Source organism: Homo sapiens, chromosome 3 (assembly GCF_000001405.40).
Source record: "Homo sapiens chromosome 3, GRCh38.p14 Primary Assembly".
Lineage (NCBI taxonomy): Eukaryota > Metazoa > Chordata > Mammalia > Primates > Hominidae > Homo > Homo sapiens.
Genome location: NC_000003.12, coordinates 46,693,777 through 46,711,256, shown reverse-complemented (window position 1 = coordinate 46,711,256; position 17,480 = coordinate 46,693,777). Strand labels below are relative to the sequence as shown.

Here is a 17,480-nt window from a genome sequence, read left to right as displayed (position 1 = left end):
GATCCAGGTCCAGGTCAGGAGCCAGGTTTGACTCTTCTGTGTCCCCAGCACTGGGCACAGACCATCACAGGTCTATTGAAAATCATGAATGCAGCCTTGTGAACTCAGCACCCAGAGAGCTGGCAGCGTCCCTCCCGAGTCCTGTGCCTGCCTCCGGGATGGGCCCAGGTGACTGCAGCTGCCCCTCAGCCTCTTGGCTCCCATTTCTCCCTCTATCTCATCCTAATTCAGGCTGGCAGAAGAGTCAGGGAGGGGACTTTGGCCTGGCCTGAGCCATCTGTCACTGACTGCTGCATCACCCTCCACATAAATGCCCCAGGAATAGCGCATCCTGAGGGGTCATCTCAGGAGGCCATTTTCTAGGCCTGGCTCTGAGAAGGCAATCAGCTTTATTCACAAATCTCTGCAGGCTGCTTTTCCAGCAGGCTCTCCTGGCTCAGAAACCTCTGGTGTCTCGAGACCTTAGTGTTCAGGCCTAGGTTTCAGAGCCTTAGTCTGTTCGATGCCATCTGGAAGTGCCTCTGTGCATCTTCCCTCCCCCAGGTGCTATTTGGGCCTTTGTCTTCTGGTCAGAGATGCTTCTTTTAGGTGCCCGTAGTGGGAAATGGTAGAAGAGGAAGCTGCAAAGAAGCTGGCACTGTTATGGTCAGCAGGCAGAAGGCCCTGCTGTGATCTTCTAGGGCCCTGGGACCTCCCAGCACAGCTGGGCATAGAAGGGGCCACCAGAACAGCCCGAGGTCCCCCTTGGCTTCTTAAATATACTCTGATTCCCAAGAGGAGCCCAGACTCCAGCTCTCTTTCCGGCACCCTCTAGCCCATTGGCCTTAGCTCTGTGTACCCCTGACCCAGCCCTGCAGCCCCCAGCCCCGAGCTCGAGCCTCGGGGCCTCATGCCGGGCCTGGCAGCAGCCTCAGCTTCATCACAACGTGTGAAATGAGGGTAGCCCATTGCCTTGAGCTTGATGTCTGCTGGGCTGGGGGTTCCATTTCTGAAGCCACCTCTACTTACTCCCTTGAGCTGGATCCCCTGCCAGGCTTGGGGAAGTCTTCTCACCACTGGGGCTCCTCCCTGGCCAGACAGAGTCCCTCCTGCTGCCACAGTGTCCCCCAGTGACCCTCTCTGCCTCCTCATGGCTACTCTGGGTGTGGCCTCACACCCTGACCCATGCACTTCAGCCATTTCGTGCCAGAAAGGGTGGCTGAAGTAACCCCATATCCCATTACTCCTTCACAGCCACTGCCATCCCTGGCAGAAAGGGTGGGAGACAGGCAGGTCTGGGTGGGGAGAGCAGTGTATCTGCAGAGGGACGGTGGCACCAGACCACCTCTGCCGAGACAGTACCCATGTGGATGGGGTGAAAGGAGCCAAGCCTAGGCTGGGGGGCAGGACACCTACGAGATTGTCTGGTTCCTGCCCCTGATGGGCCATGAGGATGTGGCCATGGGCCTCAGCTTCCCTCTCTGACCACAGCCTCTGTGGTCCCCAAATGAGCTCAGAGTCCAACATGCCTGGACCCCGGCCACGGCTTGAGCTCCAGGGCCCGCCAGCCCAAGCTGCCCAGGATGTCTTCATTTCTCTCCTTTCTTCTTCTTGGCCTCATTCTTCTCATCCTCCTCTACTTTGATGGCCACTGTGTCCACACTGTCCTTCTTCTTCTTCTTCTTCTTCTTCTTATCCTCTGTGGGGCAGGGGGAAGAGACCATGTGATAGTGGTGAGACAAGGTCCTGGGGTCTGACTGTCCTGAGGGGAAGAGCCCCAGAACCTCCTACACTCTGCCTTTTTCTTCCTTCTTCCTACTGGAGAATAGGCTCATCGTTCTATTTGCCTCATGCCAACCAATTTCTGTGCTCTGGTCTCCAGGGGCAGGGCTGGGGCCCCTCCCTGAACCTGCTTTGGTTGGAGCAGAGGAACAGGGTGACTCCAGGCAGCAGGACTGAGGAACTGGCTGGCGCAGCAGGGCTCAAGCCAGGGCCAACTCACCTCCTGGGACTTCTGTGAGCTCATTGAGGGGTGGCACAGTCTCCAGCTTGTCTGTGTACATCTTGGCTGCCTTTCGCTGCAGGTACCGGGCTTCGATCTCCTTCCGGGTCCGTGGCACACGACAGTTGAAGACACAGCACAGCGTGATGACTGTAGGGAGGACAGAGCAGGCTTGGCTGGGGCTGGGGTTCAGAGACCCAAGGAATGGCATCCGCCTTCCTTCAGGCCCGCCCCCATCCACCCACATGTGTCTCACCCACCAGACCCTGGCAGGAGGCTCAGCATCTTGACAAAACCCCTGTGGACCCTATGATGACCAAGGTGGCTTTCCTAAGCAGGGCTGACTTCATGCAGCTGCACAGGCCCCCGTGCTTGGAAGGGACCCTGGCTAAATTATGTCACCAGTCCTGGTCCTGAGGGTCTTTCTGACTAGACTGAGAGTCACTGGAGGGTAAGGCAGAGGTCTGCACCATGACTTAAGCCATAGCTTCCTGGGGGCCATCCAGCACTTCCAACCCAGGCCTCCGGGTGTGCAACTTAGCTTCTCCTTCCCACACCACTGAGAGCTAGGCCAAAGTTGCCTCAGTCATGAGAGGACGTGGCTCTGCATGTCCTCCTCAGCCTCCCTGAGGACATCCCTGGGCTCTCCCTGGCTAGGGCGGGAGCCCATGAGAGGGCACAGACCCTGCCCTGAGGCATTCACCTCAGACGGAGTTATTTCAGGAGTGGTTTTCCGGCTGAGGGCAGCTGCACCCACGCCAGTTGGGCCAGGTCATGGAGCTGGCCTGTCTAGGGATGGGTAGGGCAGGTTAGGGCTGCCAGGACCTGGCTGGACTGAGTTTATTTTCCTAAGGCCCCCACAGCCTGACCACCTTGGCCCCAGCCCTAGAGGAGGGGATGGAGCTGGTTCCTATTATAAATCAGATGACCAGACATAACTTCCTGGCAGACTCCTGGGGGCAGAAGGGCCCACGGAGGATTAACCAGGTCTATTTTGGGGAAGATGGATCAGATCTATGTAGCCTGGACTGGAGTACCTTCTGGGGTCATTTTATGCAACCAAGTCAGAACCCCTTCAGACAAATATTGTGGTCCTACTAGGTCTCACCCAGGCTCAGAATAAAAGAAAAAAATCAATGAATGAATGAATGGGATGATCTCAAAGCCTTTGCTGTTGGGAACAGGACTGGACTAGAGTGAATGAATTGGGGAGCCAATAGCATCCAGGCATACACTTGGAGGAGGGTGCTGCACAAGGGCCCCAGCTATAGATCCGACTGTCCAGGGGTGGACCTGAGCAGACAGCAGGCCTTATCCAAGAAGCTGGGTCCTGGATTTCTCCAGAACCTGTGTTCATGCCTGAGACTCGAAGTTGGTACCCAATCCTAACCCTCCCGGCTTAGGCCACCTCTTCTAGCCACCCCACCAGGAACCTCCTTGGGACTATGCCCACTCAGGCTCCATGCAGGCTGGTCCCAGGCCCCGGGAGGCTGGGGCTTCCTAAGGAGCTCAGTGGGCCACTGACGGCAGCCAGAGCCGGGCTCAAACACCACCCCTCACTTCAGGCCTGCCCCGCACAGCCTGGCCTGTTTGCTTCTCTTCAAAGAAGGGGAGATGCAAAGAGCTTTGGGTCAAGTTCCAGGGCCCAGGCAGGGGCTTGGGATATAAGTCCCTGGGGCTGGAGGAGACCTCCAGGGGCACCCCATCTAGCCCCAGCCCCTTTTCCTGCAGGGCTTTGGGGGTGATGCTCCAATAACAGCCCAGGCAGACTGGGAAGCAGGAAAAATGTTTCCCCCCAGGAGAGGGAGCTGTGTTGCCCCCACTGCCTAGATCCGGCAATGGAAGGTAACAAGTGCTGCCTGCTGCTCAGGTGTCTTGGGACTATCCTTTACCCTTTCTAGGAAATGGGGTTAGAGATGGTCTGTGTGGTTGATGTCCAAGTGCCGCTTGGGGTCTGACACTGCAATTTTCTCATGTGGCCCCAGGCACCTTTGTTGTGTCTTGAGGCCCACAGTGCTCTCCCTGCTGCTCCGTAGACCTGCATCCTAGGCTGTGCCTGTGGCTCCTGTAGGGCAGATGACCCCCGAGCCCTGCAGCGGGCTGTTTCCCTCTCTGGACACCTGGCTGAGGCTGCAGGCACACCTATCTGTCTGTGGGGCCTCCACAAAGATGCCTGACTGGTTCTCAGCCTCGGCTGGGAACAAAGCACAGGCTCTTGCTCAGATGGGGGGCGGGGATTTTCTGCAGGGCAGATATTTTCTCTTGGGACAGCACTTCTGGTGCCAGGAGAAGCACGTGCAAATCAGATGTCACGTCTTCCTTGGAGCCCCTCACATCTGGGTGGGCTCTCTGTGGGCCACCCAGCTCTCTGGGGCACCTCATCCCGGGACAGCTCCGGCTGGGACGAAGTGCAGCTTTTGCCTCCCCACCCAGGGTGCACTCAGCAAATGTCCAGTTGGGTTCATCTGAGACCCTGCGTGAGGCTGCATTTCCTCCAGCCTCTGCTCACATCCCCTCTCCCGGAATGCCTTTCCAGCCTTCCCTCCTGCAAAACCCCACCTACCCTCCCACCGGTCTGCAGCTCAGAGGACCCTCCTCCTCAGAGGACCCTCCTCTGTGATGCCTTTGCAGGGGAGTGGGCTGCTTCTCCCTTTACCTCCTACATTCCCCCCCACTCTGCTTTTGCCTCGTGGGAACCTCTGTCAGACTGCTTTGTGCCATGGCAGCCTCCCCACTTGGCCTCTGTCTCCTGTGCCTTTCTGTCCCCTTCCCCAACTCCAGACCTCCATTCTGAGGGGAGGGCTAAGGGGAGCCGGCCAAGCCCATTTCTGCTGCGACTTTGCATCAAGAAGCTCCCAGAGCCCAGGAGAGGAATGGGTTTCCTGCTTTTAATTGAGGCGGGTGTGAGTCACTCCCGGAAAATGGTATTTGACAAGGCAGGGATTGAAGCCTGGGAGCCACATCTGCTGGGTGTCTGGGGAGCCTCTAGTGGAGGATGGCCTTGCTGGGGCCCCTGGGTGTGGGCCTTTAAGCTGGCCAAACTGCAGGAAAAGCATCAGGAGGCCAGCCATAGGGAAAAATGACACGTCCTCGTCCCAGTCCTTGGTTCAGTGGAGTTCCCTGTAATTACCATAATTGCCATGTGGCTACCTCCCTGGGTCCTGCAGAATACTTCAGGTCACCACCGGCCTGTCAGCCCTCCACGGGGAGTTTGTGTGGATCAGGAGGTGCCAGAAACCACCGCGGGTCTCCTGCGGGTGCCTGGCCTACTTGCACTGCCCGGAATTGCTGCTCTGAGCCCTCTGGGGGGCAGGGGGTGCTGTGTTCCCACTGCAGTGTGGTGGAGAGGGAAGGGAACAGCTACTCACTGATGGACAACACGAAGAGCGAAAAGATGCCCACCACGTGCCACAGGCGCATGTCCCAGAACACCACTGTCTCCTTGGTCAGCGGAGGCGGCTTGGGCTTGGGTGGGGCCGTGCTGGGCTGTGGGTCAGGAGAGAGGGGAGTGAGTTAGGCAGAGGCCAGCTGGCTGGAACCAGCTGAGAAGGGCCCAGGTCTCAGCAAACACTCAGCCCAAGCATATCAGAATCTCCTAGAATCAACTCTCTTAAGCATGCACTACCAACACCCTAGACCTTGGAAAGTTCCAGATTTAGAGCAAGAGAACTGAGCAGAGCCAGGTACTTGAAGTGGGAGGGTGGTTGATGCTTGGGGAAACCAAGGCCTGGAGGAGCAAATGTGGATGGCTTGTCCTGGCCAGGTTCAAGGCCCCTATGAACACACCCTCCTACTCCAGTCCTGGGCTCCACCCAGGCAGATGGGGTCTCAGGACCAAGGCCAGAGACAAGGCGAGGCCTGGGGGGTGCTGGCTAACTGGCTTTGCTCTCACATCTCCCCAGTGAGGGTGGGGTGTGGAGCTAGGAGTCTGGGCCACATAGTTCTGCCAGCTGGCCTGGACCCCTGCCAGGTGGCCTCCTTTGGTCGCCTACCCTACTAGGAGTCACTCTGAACAGAAGACTCTCCCAGAGTGTCCACAGGACAGGCACTGGATAAATAAAAGGTCTGCAGTGCTGTGGCGACACCTGGAGGCCAAAAGGCAGAAGTGCGGCTGTAGCAAGCCTGAATAGAGCACAGCCAGACACTCCCACTTTCCAGGTGGACATGACCCTGCCCTGGGGGACTGAGGGGATAGGACACTGCCCCAGGGTCTAGAGGACACAGTCCTGCCCCAGTTCTGAGAGGACATGGCCTCATCCTGGATATCTAAGGGACATGGCCCAGCCCCAGGTCTGAGAGGACACAGCCCTTCTCCTGGGTGTCTAGGGGACATAGTTCTGCCCAGGTCTGAGGGGAGACAACCCTGCTCCTGGCTGTCTAGGGACATGACCCTGGCCCTGGGTGTCTAGGGGACATGGTCCACCCTGGGTGTCTAGGGGACATGGTCCACCCTGGGTGTCTAGGGGACATGCTTCACCCTGGGTGTCTAGGGACATGACCCTGGCCCTGGGTGTCTAGGGGACATGGTCCTGCCCTGGGTGTCTAGGGGACATGGTCCACCCTGGGTGTCTAGTGGACGTGCTTCACCCTGGGTGTCTAGGGACATGACCCTGGCCCTGGGTGTCTAGGGGACATGGTCCACCCTGGGTGTCTAGGGGACATGGTCCACCCTGGGTGTCTAGGGACATGATCCTGCCCTGGGCGTCTAGGGGACATGGTCCTGCCCTGGGCGTCTAGGGGACACGGTCCTGCCCTGGGCGTCTAGGGGACACGGTCCTGCCCTGGGCATCTAGGGACATGGTCCTGCCCTGGGTGTCTAGGGGACATGGTCCTGCCCTGGGTGTCTAGGCGACATGGTCCACCCTGGGTCTCTAGGGGACATAGTCCACCCTGAGTGTCTAGGGACATGGTCCACCTTGGGTGTCTAGGGGACATGTTCCTGCCCTGGGTGTCTAGGGACATGGTCCTGCCCTGGGTGTCTAGGGACATGGTCCTGCCCTGGGTGTCTAGGGGACATGGTCCACCCTGGGTGTCTAGGGACATGGTCCGCCCTGGGTGTCTAGGGGATATGCTTCACCCTGGGTGTCTAGGGACATGGTCCACCCTGGGTGTCTAGGGGACACGGTCCTGCCCTGGGTGTCTAGAGGACACAGCTCTACCCTGGGTGTCTAGGGGACACAGTCCTGCCTAGGTCTGAAGGGACATGGACCCACACTGTAGAATTTGAGTAAGATCTGTCCCTGACCAGAGATGGATATGACCCCATGTCTGTCACTTAGTGTGGCTGAGGGACAGGGAGAGGGGTCTGTCCTCTGAGGGAGAGAGAACCCTGGGGCATATGAGCGAGATGTTGTGCACTGATTACTAAATAAGGACAGACACGAGAAGTCCCTTCTGGTTCTCTGAGAAGAAAGGCAACCTGTAGTTCGACCATCCAGCCCTTCTTCCCCCAGGTCCGTAAACATGGATTAGGCATCTGTCATGAGCCAGGCGCTTCTTCATCTAGTGAATGCCACCCTTCAGCGTGGGTTGCAGAACTCAAGAGAGGATCAGCAACCTGTCCCAGGTAACCCAGAGGATCTGTGGGCTGGGATTGGTACCTGATTCTCAGGCTCTTTTCTCCCTGCCAGGGTGAGCTATTGACAAGAAGACACCATTCCTCAGTACTTTCCCCTGGATATATGTGTGGGGTCAGACATGTACATAAAGTTGGGGAACATGTGTGAGGTTGGGCACATGTGTGGTTGGCATGCATGTGGGTGTGGTCAGGGACATGTCTGTGCCATTAGGGTTAGGGCCCTGATGGTGGCAGCTGCCCTAATTCTAAGGCTCAATGTGTTGGCCCGGCTGGTTGTATGACTGGAAGACTCTGAGGGCCATGGCAAAGTTCTCAGGTTCTGAGCCAAGGCAGCTCACTTCCTACACATTCTTGCCCCAGCCCTGATGTGGGTGGAGCTGGGCCTACTCTTACTGATAGGGGTCTTGGGTGGACGGCAGCAGATGACAGCTGGTCTTCTCCTCATGTTGGGCCCTGCTGGGGTCTGATTTCTGGAGCATGGAGGTCCCCACCTCCTTCAGAGCCTCACGGGCTGATGGAGGGTGATGGTGACCCACACAGGGCTAAGGTGGGTGGTGACATGGCCCCCAGCCCTGCCCATGTCTTTGGTGCTTCCGTGAGGGAAGAGCTAAGGCCTTGCTCAGACTGTAGGCAGATGTCAGGCAGATGGCCTCCAAATGCAATTTCCCTAGAACTGGGAAAAGATGAGTTCCTGGGGGTGAGGGAGAAGAGTCCTTGGCTGAGAACTGACTTAACCCCCACCCCCAGCTTTCTGTCTGCACCTAGGCCAGCTCAGTTTCTGTACCCAGGCCTCAGGGCAGCCTGTGAGGGGCCCAAGTACGCCTCACAGGGCTCAAGCCAGCATAGCTCCCCTTACAGGGACACTGGAGCTGACACCTGACTCTAGCCCAGCCTTGTGGTCATGCCCTCTGGGCAACAGCAGGGACAGGCTACATCTGGGTCCAGGGCTCTGTCCCTATGTCCCCATCAAACCCTCCAGTTCAGGGCTGTGTCCCCCCATAACAACTTCCCCATGGCTCTGTCCTCTCTATCCCACACTGTCCCCAAGCCCCCACCCCTCAGGACTTCCCTGGGCACCTCTCACTGCCTCTTGCATTTCTGTTTTCCTGCTCCCTCTGGTCCGCCCCTGCCTGCACAGCCTCCATCCCCTGCTCCTCCCTGGCCCTGGCTCCTGGGCCTTCTCCCTCTGGCCTCACAATTCAGAACTCTAGGTCTGGTCTGCCAGCTCCCTCGTTGGCTCCCCTTTCAGGCTCCGCAGGAGTGGGGTACAAGGGGGTTAGGGAGGCTACAGATGGCCCCACCCTTCCTGGCCCCAGCCAGGCTCTCCACCAGGGCTCTCCCCCAGCTTCTGTGCTATCTCAGCAGCTCCTCCCACCTCTCCCACTGTGTGCCTGCTCCCAATTTACCCTCCTTCCAAACCAGAACTCATCATGACTTGTCCCTGAGCAGAAACCTTCTAAAGCTCCCGGTTATCACCAGGACCAAGTCAGACTTCCCAGTCCCTAGGTCCTGCCCTGCCTGCCCCTCTGGACCTAGTGCTCCACATAGCTTCTCTGTAAAGGGTCTCCTCATCCTGCTGCCCCCACCCTCCAACTTGGAATGCCCTCGTCTCCATCTTAAGGCTATGTCTCCCCCTCCATTAGACAGGGGTCCCTGGAACATCTCTGGAGATAGAGGCTGTTGCCTCCAGAAGACCCTAAATTCAGGGTCTGTTCCATCAGACTAGAGGTCCAGGAAACCCAGGGCTGTGCACCTCCCTGCCAGTGAGACCAAAGGCTGGAGGATGGGGGCCCAGTATCCCCCATCAGTCTGGGCAGGGCTGTGTCCCCAAGTCAGGCTGGGAATCCCTAAGGTCAAGGTGAGTCTCCCCCGTCAGACTAATGTTCCAGAAATCGGGTACTGTGCCCTTCCATCAGACCAGGGACCCTAAGAGTGGGGCTGAGTCTCTCTCACAGCCTGGCAGGGCTTGGGGCAGGGCTGCATCGCCCGGGAGACTGGATCTCTCAGGGCAAGAGTAAGGGATCAAACAAGCTCCGGATCAAAAAGGCGTCCCCTCTCCCCCAGCCCCCTGCCTGGAGGGTGACAGCCTCCCCAGTCCCTCCGTGCCGCGGCCTCACCTCCACCAGCTGCCCGGCAACCCCCGCGAGGCACACCCCGAGTGCGGCGCCGCCCAGCACGCAGAGGGGACCCGCGCCCGGCCACCCCGCCATCTTCGTGCCACCGCGCCGCTTGCGGAGCCCAGGGACGAACGGGCCGGCCGCCGGTCACTGCCCCTGCCAGCCGGCGCTCGGTGGCCACGGGCTTTGGCCACGGGTAGTCAGCGAGCATCATTTATTCATCCTCGGTGTCAGGTTCCCGCGCCGCCCGCCCCCGCCATCGCTGCGGTGGAGGGCCCGCCCCCTCCTTCCCGGGAGATCGGGCCGCAGGCTCCCCCTCCCTGCCCCCACCTTCCGCATCCCCAGGGACACTGAGGTGGGGGTGGGCGGGAGGGAGGACAGGCTGGGGCCAGGTCCCTAATCAACAGGTCCCCCTCCCTTCTGCAAATGGGCCTCAGTTTCTCCATCTGGGACAAGGGGGTGGGACTGGAATCTGCTGATCTAGGAGGCCCTTCCCATTCTGTCATGCTGGATTTGAAAAATATACTGGATTTGAGTTTGGGGGGGGGGCAGAGCGGGCAGGTTGCCATGGTGACAGGCGCTCAGGGATGTCCTGGGCTTTCTGGCTTGGCTTCCTGCCCAGAGGCGGCTCTGGTCACCCTGGACACCAGAGCTGGAGAGCAGGGGATGGTATGGTCAGAGCTGCCAGCCGGCAGTGTTATGGAGGGTTCCAGAAGAAGCCAGCATCTTCAGCCCCACAGGACAGAAGTGGGCTGTCCCTGGAAGGGCTGGAGGACCATTTTCTGACCCTGGCTGCCCTCAATCTCTGCCCCAGCCTGAACACTGACTCTGACTTCAGTCTAAGCCAGGACCCTGACCTCATGCTGAAGTTGACCCACACTGCACTCTGGCCCTGACCCCATGTTGAGCCTTGACAACTGAGGGACAGAGGGAGGTTCTGAGGAGATGTAGAGACCTGGGTGGGGGCTGAAGACTTAGGAAGAGGAGTGGGGAGGCCTGGAGTTGGTAGACTCCCCTTCCCTCCTTTTCTTCCTTCCTTCTATTCTTATTTATCTCCTGCTGCTGAGTGTTAGGAGAAGCAGCCCAGGTGTTGGGCCCCTGGAACCCTTATCACCAGGGGCACTGGTGAAGGCCTGCGCAGGCTGGGGATGGCCCAGCAAGGCCTGCCCTGAGAACCAGGGAGACCCTGTGGCTCCAGAGCCCTGTGAGGTTCTGGCCTGGACATGCCATGAATGGGCAAGGACCACAGCAGGCTGCAGCAGGGAGCGGAGGGCCACCTGCGGTCACCTGCCAGTGTCAGGGCCCGGAGATGACAGCCAGGCAGGAAAACGAGAGCTGTTGGAGAAGGACTGCAGCCCAGGAGACCCATCGAGGAAACGCTCAACAGTGGGAGGTAAAGTCTGGGGACTGAGTGGGCTGGGCCACCCAGTCCTCCCCAGGCATGCCCTGGCCAGGCAAACAGGAACTCTGCTAAAATCCAAATCACTTGTTGCAGCACTCCAATCCCCACTTCCTCATGCTGCTGGTCACAGGCCAGGCTAGGGAAAGCCACACTGACCAGTCAGGGAGGTCACCCTCGGGACATGGGGTCAGGGAGGCTGGACAGGGTGAGGACTAAGTGAGCCTGTCAGTAATGCACTGAGCAAAGCATTACTCCTCTGTTTCTGTTTCTTATCCATGGCATGGGGAGGGTGAGACTCCCATGATTGATGTGAGGATGATATGAATTAATGAATATGGGAGTGCTGGCTCTCCTTAGCAGGACAGGCAGTGCTCTGCTGCTTACAGGCTCCCAATCACAGCTCAGCCCAGAGGAGAGCTGTTTCTGTTTTCTGTAAAGTTCATCCATCCATCAAGAAGTAGGGCAAGCCTAGTGAAGAAATCTGAAAGAAAATACAATCATATGTGTCCCCCGGTGTTCCCTGAGATGGCCACTGCTCTGCGTGGGTTCCACTTCTCTGCAGACTCCTGAACACAGCTGAGATCTTACAGTACACTATTTCTAGTATACTTTTGTACCCAGAACTTTTTTTAACCAACTCAAGTACTCTAGATCCTCCTTGACCCCACCACAGCCAAATACTATCACACGGGCTTCAAAATCAAACTGACTGAACTTAAACAGCAGGGTGTCCCAAAAGTCTCAGTGCAGTTGTAAGCTTTAATAACCTCAGAAGTATAAAGCTACAAATGTATGAGAAACACCATTTAGCCAGGCATGGTGGCTCACACCTGTAATCCCAGCACCTTGGGAGGCCGAGGTGGGCAGATCACCCGAGGTCAGGAGTCGAGACCAGCCTGACCAACATGGAGAAACCCCATCTCTACTAAAAATACAAAATTAGCTGGGTGAGGTGGCACATGCCTGTAACCCCAGCTACTCGTGAGGCTGAGGCAGGAGAATCGCTTGAACTCGGGAGGCGGAGGTTGCGGTAAGCCGAGATCGTGCCATTGCACTCCAGCCTGGGCAGCAACAAGAGCGAAACTCTGTCTCAAAAAAAAAAAAAAAAAAAAAAAAAATAAGAAACACCATTTGAAAGTTTAAGTTTCCTTTTGTGCCCTCTGAAGATGGTAAAAGTTGACTGAAAGAAATTTAAGTCGGCTGAGTGTGGTGGCTCATGCCTGTAATCCTAACACTGGGAAGTTGAGGTGGGAGGAATGCTTGAGACCAGGAGTTTGAGACCAGCCTAAGCAATATAGTGAGACCCCTGTCTCTCTAAAAAATAAAAAATAAAAAATAAAAAAAGAAAAGAAAAGAAAAAGAAACTTAGGTCATTCAAAATTCACAAAACTAAAGTAGCATAAGAGAATTTAAACAAACTTTCCAAAAAATTTTTTGGTAAATTCATAGCTTTATATGTCCTAACTTCTGAAGTTGTTAAAGCTTAAAACTGCACTAAGGTTTCTGGGACATGAGCATACTGCCGGCTGTGAACCCTCAGGTGGGCTACTTAACCCCTCTGAGCTTCAGTCCCTCATCTGTAAAACAGATATAATTCAGGATCATGGGCCAGGTGCAGTGGCTCACACCTTTGGGAGACCAAGGCAGGAGGATCATTTGAGCCCAGGAGTTCAAGACTAGCCTGGGCAACATAGCAAGACGCCATCTCTATTTTTTTTTTTAATTCAGTATCATGCACCAGCATATCACAAGCCTTCATTAAACGCTAGTCATTATAATTATTATCATTCTTGTTAAAGGCTGTGTGATACTACACTGTATAAAAACTCAGCAAGGGCCAGGTGCGGTGGCTCACACCTGTAATCCCAGCACTTTGGGAGGCTCAGGTGGGCGGATCATGAGGTCAGGAGATCGAGACCATCCTGGCTAACACAGTGAAACCCCATCTCTACTAAAAATACAAAACATTAGCCGGTAGCACGTGCCTGTAGTCCCAACTAGTCGGGAGGCTGAGGCAGGAGAATTGCTTGAACCCAGGAGGTGGTTGCAGTGAGCTGAGATGGCGCCACTGCACTCCAGCCTGGGCGAAAGCAAGACTCCATCTCAAAAAAAAGAAACAAAACAAAACAAAACAAAAGAAACAAAAAACCTTGTTGGATCTCTGTCCTATTGTTGGACATTTCCATTGCTTCCAATTCTCCAGTATTAAACACCACGTTAAGGCGAACATCCTGAAAGTTAAAGTAGTTTTGAAAACTCTCTCAAACTATATCTTTTCCTCTGCTCGTACACCAACACAACAACAATCATCCACACAGAAGTCTTCTGTGATCAAATGTGTGGGTTTTTTCCCTAAATGCCAAGCAGCAGACACCAACTGAGTGCCTTCCAATTCGATTCTGACATGATCTACCCGGAGATAGTGTCAGATCCCACAGATTGAGGCCTCAGTTCCCAAGACTGCCCACCCAGCCCCAAGACACCAGTTGCCAGTCTGGCCTCTGGAACTTCTGACCAACTGGCTTCACGCTGGGGTTCCTACAACCTCCTCTTTGGGCTTAATTTGCTGGAGTGGGTCACAGAACTCAGGGAAGCACTGACTGACTTTTACTGGCTTACTGTAAAGGGTATTACGAAGGATACAGCTGAAGAGATGCATAGGGCGAGATATGGAGGAAGGGGTATGGAGCTTCCATGCCCTCCTGGGCATGCCACCCAGCCTCCACACGTTCAGCTATTCAGAAGCCCTCTGAACCCTGTCCTCTTGGGGTTTATGGAGGCTTCACGACATCTGCATTCCTTCCTCCCAGAGTATAGGGCAGGACCCTCTCTGGGGAGGGTCTTAAGACTCGCAATCAGAAAGGTGTGGGAAAATTAGGGTCCTGACTTGGGGCAGGTGAAAGCAGAGCAGGAGAAGGTCAGAGAGATTCCGTTTCCTGGGGCCTGCCCTGAGGCCCAACACATTATAGCCAAAGACCGTAACAAGGGCAATGGGAGCTATGAGCCAGTAGCCGAGGATGAAAATCAATACCTAACACCACATGGGTTTTTTTTTCCCCCATCTTTGAGGGACTTTACATCTCTGAGGGCTTTTCAGTGAGGAATTTAAGCTCATAGAGGGGTTATGCCCTGCCTAAGGTCACACAGGAACTATGGCCTCCACCTCAGCCTTTGCCTCCAACCCAGGACACTGCTCAGTGTCCAGTACTGTTTCTGCTTCTTAGGAGGCCTCCACATCCCCCTGCACCCCAAAATCAGTTGGGCCCATCATATCTGGGGTTGGGGACCTCTGGACTCCAAGTCCCCCACCCTTGCTCCCTGGAAGACAGTGTCCCCTCCATACATGGTGCTGTGAATGCTGGTCTGCAGATCCCTGCTTCTCCCTCCTGTACTAATTTTAGCTCCTGTGAGTTTCCTGTAGGGACCCAGTCCAGCCTCCAGGGCCTCTGAACTGGAAGCTGTGAGCAAGGCAGGGGGTAGTGGCCAGAGGACCCTGTGGAATGTTCTCTCCTGGAGCCTGAAATCCCAGGGCTTAAAGTTTAGCTCTGGGGGAGCTGGGGGTAGGAAATGAGGACCCCCAGTCACAAAGCTAGGCTAGGATCCAGGGACTCAGCCTAGGGTGGGGGTGGGAGCTGGGCAGCCTAGGCCTGTGCCACAGCAGCTGGGGCCTGCTGGGAGTTGGCTGTCCCTGACCTCATCAGCCCCAGGCTCAGCTCAGAATAGCTGTGGGGCTGGGCCAGGCCTGTGTCAGACCTGCGTGTGCTTGAGCATGTGCTTTGTGTACTAAGGCACTGGTGCACATGGGAGTGCATGTGCATTCTGCATGCAGCTTTGTGTGTGGCTGGGTATGAGTCTCAATGGCTCCAGAATCACAGGTGCCATTCACATACGTGTGTGTTCCCTGGAGTAGTGTGCAGGTCTGTGTCCCTGTGGATGGGCACATGATCTGCACACGCATACCCAGGGCTGCCACTAGAGTTGTGCAACTTGGAGTCCTTACCAGTGGGTTCAATGGTAGATGGGTCCATGTGGCACAGGGACCCACCCATTCCCTGACTGTGGAATTGTATCTGTGTGCAGCGGGTGTGGGAGTGGTGTGGGTGGGTATACACATCTGTGGTGGGATTGGCTAGGGGCCCTTGGCTGTGCTGCAGGGGACTGAAGGCAGGTGGACTCAGCAGAGGCTGTCCTTTGGGCACTACCAGAGGCCTTACCTGGCCCCAAGCCAAGAATGAGCTGTAAGAGAGGCTGGGCAGGTCTTGCCCCATTTAGCAGATAGGAAAACTGGGCTTGCAATGCCCATGAGGTCACCCAGGGAATGGGGGAAGGACTGGTCTGCTGCCCAGAGCTCAGTCAGCCTTTCTATTCCCCTAGATGTGGCTGAACAGGAAGTCTGTGCTCTAGGGAGGAAGCCGTGGGAGCCCTTCCCTTCCTGCTCGAGCCCAGGCAGCACTGCCTTCCCTCAGCTGCACGTGCAGATGATGAAAGTGAGGCCCAGAGACACCTAGCATAAGATCAGATCTGTCCTGCTCGGGGCCTTGCCCCACCTGTCCCTGTTCGTCACAAGTGGTGAGGCCATATGCTCCTCCTGAGGCCATGGCCACTCTCCAGCCCTTGCCTCCCTCCTAAGCCCCAGGGATGCCTGGTGGCCCACACCCATGCTCTAGGGGACCCATAGATCCTCTAAACCGTGCTCATCCCTGAAGGAGCCCCTTGAACCCACCATACCCCTCCTCTCAGAGTCCCACATAACCCCGAGAAGGAGGCGCAGGTAAGATATTTCACCAGCAGGGGCACTACGTTACAGAGAGGCCACACACTGCCTGTGATCACACAGCAAGAGGAAAGCAGCACAAGGCCCCATACCAGCTCTTCCAGAATGTACCGCTACCTCCCACTGCCCCACAGGCACAAAGGATCCCCACAGGGAAGACCTTGGAGGCCTGTTTAGAACCTGAAGCCTCAGTTCATTCCACCTGCTGGGGCGGTGGCTCTGCCAGGCTGTGCTGTAGACTCAGGGAGCCAAGTGCCCCAGCAGACAGTCCCGCAGGCCAACAGGGCTGTGAAGGGGAGTGGGGGCCAAGGTCCGGAGCCTGGGGGTGGAGGGCATGGGGAGGGGAGGCTTTCCCAGAGGGCCAGAGGGACACCTCACCAGAAGCCTCCTTGAGGTAGCCCCCACCCACCAACACAGCAACACCTCTAGCAGGCAGGGACCAGAGGAGCAAGGCCTTTGGGAGTGGAGCCCCTCAGGCAGCAGGGGGTGCAGAAGGGGGCAAGAAAACAAGGCTGGAAAAGGGGAGGCCAGAGCTAGGGCGGGCTTTGGCAATGTGGGGAGGGATGGAGAAGCAGGAAGGGGCGGCTCTGCAGGATTGGGACCCAGGAGGAGAGCAATGTGGGGCAAAAGGGTGAGGTCACTGGGACCTGCAGTCACTCAGACAAGGGTCCCAGGCTGGAAACCCTCCAAGGGGTGATGTGCAGCTTGGCAGACAGTAAACTCCCACCTCGCAACAACCCAAGGGAGCCAGGGGATGAGCTTGGCAGGCCCCAGGCCCCTACTTACCTCCACTGGGGGTCTCTTCAGCCTGGCAGGTTGGGGGATGCCTCCCACCTCCTCAGTAGGGGGCTGAGTAGGGGGCTGGTGGGCCACCCTTTCTGCTCTTCCACGGCCGCCTTGGACCCTGAGCCTCCCCCTCACTGGAACCTGAGTGCCACTGAGAGCAATGGGTGACTAACCTGGTGGCCAGAGGGGGAATCAGGCTGCTGACGGGGGGCTTCTTTGTTACAGGTTTGAACTAAGTTCCCTCCCGCTCCCGGGGGGTCTGTCCCAGATAAGTCTTCAGCCACCCTTTCCAAGGTCTCAGGCCTTCGCACAAAGCACACGCGGCCGGCTTCATGCTCTACTAGGCCTGTTGAGACTCAGGAGTGGGGAGGAAAGGGGACTTCCCCAAGGTCGCACAGGAGGGGCGGCCGGCCGTGGACACCCAGCCCAGGGGGCCGCAGGGCGCCTCAGTATACCCCTCTACAGGCTCCAAGTTCCACGAACCCACACAGCGCTCCGCGTGTGCTGGCTTCTGTGACTCAGGGCAGACCCGGGAGGTCACGGGGCTGCACCACAGGCTCGCAGAGCGACTGACTGGCGGGGCGAGGTGGTGGCACGGCGGCCTCGGAGCCTTGCAGGGGAAGCGGGGCGCGAGAGGCGAGCCTGAGTGTGCGCGTGGGTGCGTAGGGGGCGGAGGGGTCAAGACTCCCACTTTTCCTCCCCGCGCCGGGTCCCAGGGGCCTCCGGATCCCGGGGGACGCCAGAGGGAGGCCTCAGGAGAGGCTTGGGGCGGCGGGACGGATCAATACCGCGCGCCAGCTCCTCGGTGGCCCGCCCGTGGCCCCCGCAACTCCAGAGCAACA

The 17,480-nt window shown here is 57.1% G+C and overlaps 1 protein-coding gene across 3 annotated transcripts, besides 4 other annotated features; it reads right to left on the bottom strand.

Annotated features, from left to right (window-relative positions):
* TMIE (transmembrane inner ear) lies at nt 371-17,479 on the bottom strand. Of its 3 annotated transcripts, NM_001370525.1 has the most exons (5): nt 17,122-17,479; nt 16,639-16,811; nt 5,350-5,467; nt 1,982-2,131; nt 371-1,678 (listed from the first exon to the last, which is right to left on the bottom strand). In NM_001370525.1, exons 3-5 carry the CDS (start codon nt 5,399-5,401, stop codon nt 1,569-1,571), a joined length of 312 nt encoding a protein of 103 aa, NP_001357454.1. In that variant the 5' UTR covers nt 5,402-5,467; nt 16,639-16,811; nt 17,122-17,479; the 3' UTR covers nt 371-1,568. The 3 variants fall into 3 exon arrangements, with proteins under 3 accessions (NP_001357454.1, NP_001357453.1, NP_671729.2); NM_001370524.1 differs by having other exon boundaries at nt 16,639-17,479; NM_147196.3 differs by lacking the exons at nt 16,639-16,811; nt 17,122-17,479 and adding an exon at nt 9,677-9,865.
* Nucleotides 4,087-4,844: an enhancer, noted in NCBI's record as "H3K27ac-H3K4me1 hESC enhancer chr3:46747903-46748660 (GRCh37/hg19 assembly coordinates)". NCBI's record gives its function as "activates a minimal SCP1, AML or CMV promoter by ChIP-STARR-seq in primed H9 embryonic stem cells {active_cell/tissue: H9 hESC(primed)}" and the evidence as "EXISTENCE:reporter gene assay evidence [ECO:0000049][PMID:30033119]".
* Nucleotides 14,263-14,762: an enhancer, noted in NCBI's record as "H3K4me1 hESC enhancer chr3:46737985-46738484 (GRCh37/hg19 assembly coordinates)". NCBI's record gives its function as "activates a minimal SCP1, AML or CMV promoter by ChIP-STARR-seq in primed H9 embryonic stem cells {active_cell/tissue: H9 hESC(primed)}" and the evidence as "EXISTENCE:reporter gene assay evidence [ECO:0000049][PMID:30033119]".
* Nucleotides 15,852-16,641: an enhancer, noted in NCBI's record as "H3K4me1 hESC enhancer chr3:46736106-46736895 (GRCh37/hg19 assembly coordinates)". NCBI's record gives its function as "activates a minimal SCP1, AML or CMV promoter by ChIP-STARR-seq in naive H9 embryonic stem cells {active_cell/tissue: H9 hESC(naive)}" and the evidence as "EXISTENCE:reporter gene assay evidence [ECO:0000049][PMID:30033119]".
* Nucleotides 17,274-17,353: a silencer, noted in NCBI's record as "silent region_14292". NCBI's record gives its function as "represses an Ori minimal core promoter by ATAC-STARR-seq in GM12878 lymphoblastoid cells {active_cell/tissue: GM12878}" and the evidence as "EXISTENCE:reporter gene assay evidence [ECO:0000049][PMID:35858748]".

Excerpts from the sequence above, each read along its gene's own strand:
- TMIE (NM_147196.3), bottom strand. The coding sequence starts at position 9,769 with ATGGCGGGGTGGCCGGGCGCGGGTCCCCTCTGCGTGCTGGGCGGCGCC. Across the intron at positions 5,468-9,676 it reads TTGCCGGGCAGCTGGTGGAG|CCCAGCACGGCCCCACCCAA; the intron begins GTGAGGCCGCGG and ends CCTGACCCACAG. Across the intron at positions 2,132-5,349 it reads GCTCTTCGTGTTGTCCATCA|TCATCACGCTGTGCTGTGTC; the intron begins GTGAGTAGCTGT and ends TCCTCCCTACAG.